We start from the raw sequence: 11,969 nt of genomic DNA, 5'->3' as shown, positions 1-11,969 counted from the left end.
GAACATAATTCAGTCTATTACAATTGTAAAATGTAACATTTGAGAGATGAATTAGAACAAAATAGTCAAGGAATTTGCCAAGGCAATATTTGCTATTCACTTTTTTCTCACTAAACATCTATAACCAAGATATCCATATATGTGACTCTTTCTCTTGGAAAATTCATGGAAGATTAGCTGACTCTTCTTTGTTTCTCCTTTCTTTTTCTTTTAACTTCAAATATATATATATATATATATATATACACACACACATATACTTCAATATACATATGTATTTTGAAGTTAATATATATGAAGTTAATATATTCTGTAGTATATTTCTTACATGTATATAAATAAAATAAAATATAAATAAAAAATAAAATATAAATAAAAAAATCCATACTACTTCAAATAAAAAAATAGGTCCTGTACCATATATATGTATATGTGTGTGTGTGTGTGTGTGTGTGTATATATATATACGTATATATATATGTGTATATATATGTGTATATATATATATATATATGTAAGACAGTGATCTTATAGAGATAACTTCCATTCTGTTTAAAAGTTACTTAAAAGTAGCTCAGTTTTGATAGGCACAAAATATTTAAGCATTAGTATTTACAGTTATCTCTTTCTTGGCTTTGGAATGGATGACTATATGTTCTTGCAGCTTTGTTCCTGGATCCTGATTGTGCTAAGATCTTGGGAGGTAAGGATAATTAGAAGATACTCACAAGGACTACAATAGATGTTTGCTGACTGTCTCCCGTAGCTAGCTACTCAACACAGTCTGAGTGAACTATGTTTTCCAACTCTTCTTGCAGGCAGGCATGTCTATGTGACTGAATCCTGGCCAGTGGAATTTAAGCAGAAGTAACAAACACCACTTTAAACCTGGCCATCAAATCCTCTCATGCCCACTGATCTAAAGTGCATAAAGAGACAAAAGTAATCTATTGTGTTAGAAGTCACCAGTTGGGGTGATTGGGCAAAGATGACAAGGGGCGTCTTCAGCCTGAGCGTCTTCTGTTTCTTGGCCTGAATGGGGATCATATGGGTGATGATTCACCAAGCAATATACTTATACTTTATAAACTTTTCTGTTTTTATATTGTACTTCAGTTGAGAAAGTTTAAAAGTATCCTTTCATAGCCTTTCCCCCATGATCCATTCCCCTTTGGAAGGCTGTGATAAAGAAGATGTTCAAGGACACCTCGGGAAGCATATGTTGAAGACGGCAGAGGCTGCACAGACCTAGTGTCTGAGAGCTTTTCATTTTATCTGTTCACTGTAGGGAGTTTGAATCATTTTGCACTGTTTTATTTCTTTGTTAGAGCCACTAGTATTAACCTAAAACATATTCCCATCATCCTTTCTCCCCTTTTTACTGCCATTAATATTCTCATCTTCCTACATGAATTTAACTATTTTCATTTTTGGCCACATGATCTCTTAGAACTGACCCTACCTCAGTTTCCAATTAAAGATTCTCATTTAGTTTCAGCTAATTAATATAGCCATCCCATGTCCACAGTGAAAGGCTGGACTTGAAACCTAATGCAGTGAGATACAATGAGAGTCAAGGAAACTTGCTGAGATTTTCATGAACGTAAAGTTCTTTGGTTTCTGGAAGAGCTATAAGAAAATATTTCCTTCCTCTAGATTTGGAGCTCTGGTTATGTGAGACAGGACCACTGCACTCTATTGCCATCAGAAGGGGGTCTGCCTGAGAGTGAAGTTGACACCTAGAAGTCAAGCTCAAAAATAGATCTAATGGTCTAGTTTGAACTCTGCCTGAAGCATAGGAGAGATCTTTTATTCTTTTTCGTAGTCAAGAGGTCTTTCTTTTTGACAAATACCTTGAAGAATTCACTTAAACTCATCTATAAGTGCATATTGAGTATCTCCTAGATGCTAATATTCATAATATTTTTTAACCTCCATGGCTTTTTCTAGAACATAGAGTTATCCAAAGGCTAAGGGCTGAGCCAGATGATACCTTGTGGTCTTAAATCAGATATCAATGTTCTGATTTTCAATTGTCTTTATATAACATGACCATTTTTGTCTAGTTATTTCAATACATATTTATCGCAAAAAGGTTATACTCTATGTTTCCACGTGGCCTCTTGAAACCCAAGCATTTTGTCTTCCATTTTATCCCTCCATTATCTCTTTTCTATAGAAAGTACACACCATTAATATCATATCATGAATTTTCTGCCATATTAATGTTTTTCAAGTGAGGTTTTAATTGTCTCACTTATGCTGTTATAATTTGTAGAGCTATGGTTTAAATTATATAGTTTTTAAAACTTTTATGTTCAAGGGTACATGTGTAGATTTGTTCTGTAGGTAAATTGCATGTCACAGGGGTTTGTTTGGTGTTCAGATTTTGTAACCCAGGTAATAAGCACAGTACCAGATAGTTTTTTGATCCTCACCCTCCTCCAGTCCTTCACCCTTAAGGCCCCAGTGTCTGTTGTTCCCTTCTTTGTGTCCATGTGTACTCAATGTTTAGCTCCCATTTATAAGTGAGAACATGCAGTATTTTATTTTCTGTTCCTATGTTAGTTCGCTTAGGATAATGGTGTCTAGCTCCATTCATGCTGCCGCAAAGGATATGATTTCATTCTTTATTATGGTTATATAGTATTTCATATATGGTGTATATGTACTACATCTTCTTTATCCAGTCTACTGTTGATGGGCGTTGAGGTTGATTCCATATCTTTGTTATTGTGAATAGTGCTGGAATGAACATATGTGTGCATGGGCCTTTATGGTAGAATGATTTATATTCCTTTGGGTGTATACCCAATAATGGGATTGCTGGGTCAACTGGTAATTCTGTTTTAAGTTCTTTGAGAAATTGCCAATCTGCTTTCCACAAAGGCTGAAACAATTTACATTCCTACCAGTAGTGTACTAGTGCTCCCTTTTCTCTACAACCTCATCAGCATCTGTTATTCTTTGATTTTTTTAATCATAGCCATTCTAACTGGTGTGAGATGGCATCTCACTGTGGTTTTGATTTGCAGTTCTGTAGTGATTTGTGATGTTAAGCATTTTTTCATATATTTGTTGGCTAAATGAACATCTTATTTTGAAAATTATCTGTTCATATCCACTTTTTAATGGGGTGGTTTGTCTTTTGCTTGTTAATTTGCTTAAGTTCGTTATAGATTTTGGATATTAGACCTTTGTCAGATGCATAGTTTGCAAATGTATTCTCCCATTCTGTAGGTTTTCTGTTTATTGATAGTTTCTTTTGCTATGCAAAAGCTCTTTACTCCAATTAGGTCCAATTTCCCAATTTTTTTTTATGTTGCAATTGCTTTTGGCATCTCCATTATGAAATCTTTGCCAGATCCTATGTCCAGAATAATATTTCCTAGGTTATCCTCCAAGGTTTTTACAGTTTTGGGTTTTACATTTAAGTCTTTACTCCATCTTGAGTTGATTTTTGTATATGGTGTAAGGAAGGGGGCCAGTTTCAATCTTCTGCATATGGTTAGCCAGGTATCCCAGCATCATATATTGAATAGGGAGTCCTTTTCCCATTGCTTGTTTTTGTTAACTTTGTCAGATGGTGATTGGTGTGTAACATTATTTCTGGACTCTCTATTCTGTTCCACTGGTCTGTGTATCTATTTTTGTACCTATACCATGCTGTTTTGTTTGCTGGAGCCTTGTAGTATAGCTTGACGTCAGGTAAGGTAATGCCTCCAGCTTTGTTCTTTTTGCTCAGGATTGCCTTGGCTATTCGGGCTCTTTTTTGGTTCCACGTGAATTTTAAAACAGTTTTTTTTTCTAATTCTGTGAAGAATGTCATTGTTAGTTTGATAGAAACAGCATTGAATCTGTAAATTGCTTTGCGTAGTATGACCATTTTAACAATATTGATTCTTCCTATTCATGAGCATGGAATGCTTTTCCATTTGTTTGTGTCAACTTGAGTTTCTTTTAGCAGTGTTTTGTAATTCTTTTTGTAGAGATCATTCACCTTCCTGTTTATCTGTATTCCTAGGTATTTTATTATTTTTGTGGCTATTGTGAATGGAACTGCATTCTTGATTTGGCTTTCAACTTGTATGTTGTTGGTGTATAGAAATGCTACTGGTTTTCATACACTGATTTTGTTTCCTGAAACTTTGCTGAAGCTATTTATCAGATCTGGGAACCTTTGGACAGAGACTATGGGGTTTTCTAGGTATAGAATCATATCATTTAAAAAAAAATAGTTTCATTTTCTCTCTTCCTATTTGGATGCCTTTGATTGTTTTATCTTGCCTGATTGGTGTGGCTGGGACTTCCAGTACTATTTTGAATAGTTGTGGTGAGAGAGGGCATCTTTGTCTTGTTTTTGTTTTCAAAGGGAATGCTTTGAGCTTTTACTCATTCAGTATGTGTTGGCTGTGGTTCTGTCACAGATGGCTCTTAAAATATATAGTTTTATCTTCTAAACGTTTCCTTTATTTTTTTCTACATTAGCTCAATTAAAATATATGTTTAATTATTGCTGAGTGATGGCCGGAAAGTTAATTTCTTGAAGATAATTATCTATCTCATATAATTATAACTCTGGAATCATAAAGCTTCTAGATTTGTCTCCTTCGGGTAAAGCATAGAATTTGAAACATGTTCTCCTGATATATTTTTGTTCACACAAATGAAAGTGTCACAAAGTTTGCCTCTCCCATTTAAGAGAAAAGTTATTTTTTAAAATGAAATTTTAGTTTTTCTCTCTAAACTGAAGTTCTCTGAATGAAGCAAAAACAAGAAAACAGTGTAGAGCAATGAAGAGAAAGCTGAGAGGTGGATTATGGTCCAGGCTTTGCCATTAATCTGCTGTATCAGATCATTTATTTTACCTGGATCTCAGTTTTTCTGTTGAGGAAAGCCAGACAATTAATAGGAAACTTGTTGCCAGTACTAACAATCTATGGAGAGAAACTAATGTGGATTTGGAATAGAATTCATCCTTCCAGTAAAAAATGGATATGCTCTATGCATTTAGGAGGCATAGACTTCACATTACCCAGACTCAATGACTAAACAGAGAAGATTCCCTGATTTTTCTCCATTACCTGTTATAGCATATGACAAGGCATGCATTTCTCAGGATCACATGTAACTAGAAACTAAGAAAACTGAAATTAATCTGAAGACATGGACTCATGTCCTCATGTTGCTGCTTACAGGGTTTGTGACTTTGGGCAATATATGCTACATTGGCCTAACTCACTCTGTTTTCTAAGCTAGGGAAAAAAACAAAAACACAACCAAAACTCTATTCCCCATCTAGATGTGTACTATTGTTATTCAATGATAAAATGTAAATGTTATAATACTTTGCTTACTGTGTAACTGTAGATATTGTGCTTAAACCCTTGACAGAGCCTTTAGTCTTCTGACATATAGAAATAGACACAGTAATAGATGGCATGGTGTTTTCCCACCCTTAGGAGAGATGCTCTGTTCATGATACTTCTCTATTGTCTGTTGTCTTCTTTCGTCTCCTCTCGGAATATCATGGAAGCCAACAAATGTCCAGTATTCTCCTTTCTTGAAGGCTTTGACTAGCTCTTTATCTTAAAGATAGGTAAATTCATTTTGGATATTTCTATGTATTTTTAATTCTCTTTATTTTACTTTATTTTATTTATTCATTTATTATTATTTTTTTAGATGAAGTCTCGTTCTGTCTCCCAGGCTGGAGTGCAATGGCATGATCTCGGCTCACTGCAAGCTCCGCCTCCTGGGTTCATGCCATTCTCTTGCCTCAGCCTCCCCAGTAGCTGGGACTACAGGCACCCGCCACCACGCCTGGCTAATTTTTTTGTACTTTTACAAGAGACGGGGTTTCACCGTGTTAGCCAGGATGGTCTCGATCTCCTGACTTCGTGATCCACCCGCCTCGGCCTCCCGAAGTGCTGGGATTACAGGCGTGAGCCACCGTGCCCAGCCAATTATCTTTATTTTTTAAAGTTAATCTCCTTAATGCCCCTGTCTTTAATCAGCATTGTTCAAAATCTCTTTAAAATCTGTTTAGCTTGTAAGTCTAATTTCCTCTCCTAAAGGATTTTTTATTTCTTTTGGCAGCCTGCTTTTTTCTTGGACCTTAAAGAGAGACCAAGGGCTGTTATTTTCAAATGTTATTATTGGGCTGCACAAATACATAAGTATACTGTTGCTTCCATGCACAAAAGAAAGCTCTCTGGTAAATGATTAAAATTGTCTTTTTTATGCTAATTTGAGTGCAGACTTATTGGAATGAATTTATCAGCCCCCGAACACTCACTGGGAGTTACCACAGGTCACTCCTGTAAATGAGATGTTGCATCCCAATGAGTAAATACATTTCAAAATGAAAAAGAAATCTATTTCAGGGATTTTTCTTACTTAACTCAAGTGTTCTGTAGTTGGTAACTAAATTTGCTAATATATTAATATGAAAAGTGCCACCTGAAATTATACAAAAAATCTTGTTTATTACAGAAATAGGCTGAACAAAGCAAACATTAAAAATGTAATTGAGGTAATTAGCTTGAATTTGGCAGGGAGAGTACTGGGTAAGAAGAAGGTTAAGCTACTAGGTGTATATAGTGAAAAAAACTGTTTAAACTGTAATTGTTGCATTAAATTGTTTATATAATGTTGGTTGATGTTTAAAACATTTGGGGCCATTTTGGAAAGCAAGATGTTTACTCATTTATCCAGCAACAGCCTGAAAAACTTAATTGAAAGCAGCTGATGCAGTGGTAATGCCAGGCCTCAGTATAAATGTCAACAGAGAAAAGAGAGTTATTTGTTGGTTTGCTTATTTGTCTTTTCCAGAGAGAAATTTGACTTCAAGAAAGGAAATTGCCTCCAAGGAAGAACAAAAAGAAACCAATGCCTCTCCAAAGGCTATCACGAGGCTAGATTGCTAACCCTCGTTAGCAAACAAGAAGAGACCAGGTGAGTTTGAGATATTGTGGCTCTTAATGTAAGAAATAGTAAAATTATGTTATATTATTACTGAGACATCAGAATGTCTGTTTTGAAGAACCCAGGCTAAAATAAAGAGGACCAAAAGCAAATTTTTGCAATCAGGTTTAATTGTACATTAAATATTTGAGTACCTTTAATATGCCAGTGCAAACACAAATGTAAAGAAAATATACTTGAACTTTAAGAATCTTCCATGAAGGAATAAGAAATCTGACTAGTAACATATATTGTATGAAAATCACTGGATACTAATAGTGTACACTGGTTGGGTGATGGGTGCACCAAAATCTCAGAAATCACCACTAAAGAACTTATTCATGTAACCAAACATCACCTGTTCCCTAAAAACCTATTGAAAGAAAATGGAAAAAAATAAAATCATTGGATACTACAAAAAAATAGAGTCAACCTATCTGAGTTCTGATGTGTATTCATCCAAAGATAACCCTAAATGAGTTAAACTTCCTAGTCTTTGAACCTGAGCTGGCCCTGTGTTATTAACAGACTGTGGCAGAAGTGATGCTTCATGACGTCTGAAGCTAAATCATGAGTCCTCAGCTTCTGCCTTGGTTTCTTGAAACATTCACTTGGGGTGAATCCAACAGCCACATTATAAGGAGGACTATCCCAAGATGGCCAATATGTGAGGAAGCCTAAGCTAGCCACGTGGAGAGGACACAAGAAGAGAGAGCTATGATCGACCTCCTCAATCTGTTACAATTATCCCAGCCCAGCCTCCAGACATGGGTGACAAGGAGCCACTTTGGACATTTCATGATGACAAAGATATTGGAGACTGGTTTTCCATTGTTAGGCTCCACCCTAAGGCAAAGCACAGAGTATACTAATCACGGTGATAAAGATATTGGAGACTGATTTTTTATGTTTAGGCCGCACCCTAAAGCAAATCATGGAGGCCTTAAGTATCATTGCAAGGGTTAGATCTGGTTTCAGCTAACAAAGTCTGACAACGTAAGAGTGAATAAGACAGCAACTGGGAGGGAGTAGAGAGAAGAGTTGGTATACAAAGATCTTCATTCACAAAAGTTCTGTGGTTGAAAGATTTTATCTATAGTTGATAAGGCAAAAAAATACAGGTGTGTAAAAATCTTCAAAGATAAATAATACAGGTATTAAAATAAAGATATAATTACACTTGGACTTAAAGTGTGTGCATCTGGAAGGATGCCAAATAATTATCAACTGGTAAACTCTAAAAATCAATATACCAAGAAATAACTGTGAAGGCATATTATTTAGCAAGATAGAAGATCCAGCTAATGTAATTGAAATTGACTTTTCTTGGGAGAACAATTGGGTGTTGGAAAAGAGGAAATAGATACATTTCCATTATTATAAATTTTGTTATTACTGTATATCCTTTTTAAATGTTTTAAAACATATGTATTTATAATTTTTGAAGCTTGTAATTCATTAAAATAAGTTTATCATATTTTTTCAAACATAAATTCAGAGATAAATATAATGAACACTTGTGTACATACTAAGCAACTTTAATGATAATATTTTGTTATACTTGCTTTAGATATTTAAAAGAATGAATCATTAAAAATAGATATAATGCCATTTGGTATCCTTTTTTTTTTTTTTTTTGAGACGGAGTCTCACTGTGTCACCAAGGCTGGCATGCAGTGGTGCAATCTCGGCTCACTGCAAGCTCTGCCTCCCGGGTTCACGTCATTCTCCTGCCTCAGCCTCCTGAGTAGCTGGGACTACAGGCGCCCACCACAACGTCCGGCTAATTTTTTCGTATTTTTAGTAGAGACGGGGTTTCACCTTGTTAGCCAGGGTGGTCTCGATCTCCTGACCTCATGATCTGCCCACCTTAGCCTCCCAAAGTGCTGGGATTACAGGTGTCAGCCACTGCACCCTGCCTTGGGACCCCTAATTTAAAAGATTTTATGTTTATTCCACATTTTATCTCAATACATTAATTATTCCAATTTGATGTAACCTGGCATTCCTGAAATATACAACTTGGTCATGATTCATTTAATTCATTCTTCAGTACAAAGAAAGCTTTTGGAGGATTGCAACTCTTTTAATCAGTGGGATTGCCCTGCAAACTCTCTCTCTCTTGACACTGATATTAAAGTTATACTACCTTCCTGTTTTTCTCTAATAAAAAATGTATTCAGTGGAAACTACAGGTTTCATGAATATTTGATAAAAATGCTAATAGAACTTGTTTTTATTTGGGCATTTAGTGGTGCTCTAAATGGCTGAACATTCTTGATGGATTGGATTACTCACTGTCCTGCCACTTCTCAGATGTGGCATGCCCAGTAAGGCAAGCGTAAAGTGCTTCCATAATTACTAGACTGTTAATATTTGTTGAATAGACTAGAAAGCTACCAAGGTAGTGATGCCCAATGAGGAAAATGTGTCTCCTTTCCCGCTATTTACTCTGCTTCATTAAGAAGAATGAAATGCTGCATAAGAGAGCAATACTGGTCAACTCCCTTTTAGTGACTGCTTATAGCAGTGTCCTGTTTTCTGAATATCTTGCTCAGCTTGCTACTGGTACGTTTTAGAACAAGATGTGGATCTGCTGCTTATCTGAAATGGGAACCTGAACTTCAGGGTCAGGGTCTATCTCACGAGCATTTATCCATTAAGCCCTAAGATTTTATTCTACAACAATGCAGATTATTATCTGATATTGAACCATTTTCATGACCAACAGAATTCTCCATGACCCATCACAATTCAAAATTTTTACTTGTGGAATTATCTAGGGGAAATAGAGAATTTAAAGAGATTTGGAATTATTGCTCTAGCTATCTTGAATGTACTTTTTTGAATTTCTGATTAAATATGTACAAAATGGGTCAGGTTTCTTAAAAATGATATATCAAACAAGAGTTAGGGAAACAATAAGGAGGAGATATTAGTCTGGAGGATGATTCTGGGAATATTTTGCATATAGAAAGAATAATGGTTGTAATAAACTAATACTTTTCACATTACAAAAGTAAATTTTAATTCACCCTCAGATATTTAAAGGCATAATATGTTTATTGGAGAGTTCAAGTTTCTATTTTAGGGAATGTTTAGTTAGTACATCCATATGGTTACATTAAATTTGGAGGTTTCCTTTATTTTTTCTGGACACTTGAAAACAGTCACATTTGAAACCAGTAAATTTTTAAACCTATTTTGTAATACTACTCTCTAGAGTTGCCACTATGAGATCTGAGTTGGAAAGTAATTCATTTTTGAGTTTTACCTCTCTTTGGGAGAAAGATGTAGATAAAAAACAAATATAATTTTATCTAATATTTACTAGAAAAGAATAAATTATCTTTGACTTAATTTTTAGGAACTTAGAAAAATGATCTCTTGAAAGATGCTAGACTGTATGGATATTGTTCTTTCCCATATTCAGAACTGTGGGAACAATAATGGTGTAAATATTTATTATGTACAGGACCCTCCTCCCACGTTCCTACCCTCCCAGAGGAGTGATGATCTCCATAGAAAAAACAAGTGAAATGAAATGAAGAGGTTGATTTTTGTTCCTTTTTAGTTTTTGATATTATGGAAATTTTATTGCCTGGAAGGGACGAAATAGATCTATGCAAAATTTTCAAAATCTGTATATAAATATCATAGAGTTCTTACGGTAATTGCTCACTAATAGAGATATGTAAATAACCAAAATAAATCTTTCCCAAGGTCACATATTTGGGAATATCCAAGATTTCATAAATCATTTCTTTAGCGATTCTTGAATGGCTGCTTCAACAATAATGTATCTTACTTAACAATTCTTGAGCAACTTCCTTATCTCCCTATGTATCAGCATAACCTTTTCAGATATAATACCATTGATTAAAGGATTTCCCTCTAGCTTCCATTTTCTCTTGAATATTGATCTGCATTATAGTTCTTTTTTAGAAATCTATAGGAGAAAATGATGGAATGTGTTACAAAGTCATAACATTAGTTAAAAGCCTTTGACATCAAATTTGAAGGCATTCATTGTGCATCCAGTAGTTTGTATCTTTTCAGTGGGAAATGTGTTGTATTATTTTTAATTACTTTTAAAACTATTAATTTGATAATGTCCTGCTTATTTCTGTTAATTAACTTTTCTTCAGGCATTGTGTTAGAATTATGAGTGGTGAAGGTGGTGAAGTAGATTTTACCAGCCATGATTATCAAAAACCTTTTTTAAAAAATTAACAGATAACTCAATAAAATATGCTTTTCTAAGACATGTCTTTATCAAAATAGTCAAAAATATTTAATGAATATTAGTTTCAATGAATGCTAAGTAAGCATAAAGTTTAGCTAATATTATTTAACTTTTAATACCTTCTTTACATTTTAAACATGTATTTCTCATGCTTCTGGTGGTTCAAATATGAAAAACCCAGTACGTAATTCACACATAACATTTTCCATCAGCTTGCTGTTTGTAGTTCTCTTTCGTTGGTGCCAACCTTAATTACCCTATCACTATTGGAGGAGTTTTATCTGTGCCAAAATTTAGCTAATTTCAAGTACTCTCTAAAAAATAAGCTATTTTTTAAAATCATAGGACTTTTCTCTCTTCTCTAGTGCCTCAATTTAAAAATAAATTCTGAAATTAAGGTATGTACACAAAAAATGCACATGGTAATAATAGATAGCTTAATGAATTCTCTCAAAGTGAAAACACCCATATGTTCACTACTTAACCTGAAACTTATGTCTTCATTTGTAAAATAAACTTGTAGTGTGGATTTAAGTAATCCTCAAATTCTCTTCCATCTATGGATTTTATAGTTCTGTAAAGTATGACAAATTCGTTTTCTTCCTTTTTTAACAACAGTTTTTTAAGTACATGTTTTTATTGAAGCATAAAATACAGAAAATTTTTAAATCATCTGGGTACAGCTTGTTATCTTACCCCAAAGTTAATGTACTATATAAGCACCATTTAGGTAAAAATCATCATCATCATCATCATA

This window comes from Homo sapiens, chromosome 5 (genome assembly GCF_000001405.40).
Source record: "Homo sapiens chromosome 5, GRCh38.p14 Primary Assembly".
NCBI classification, from domain to species: domain Eukaryota; kingdom Metazoa; phylum Chordata; class Mammalia; order Primates; family Hominidae; genus Homo; species Homo sapiens.
This window is presented reverse-complemented; position numbering follows the sequence as displayed.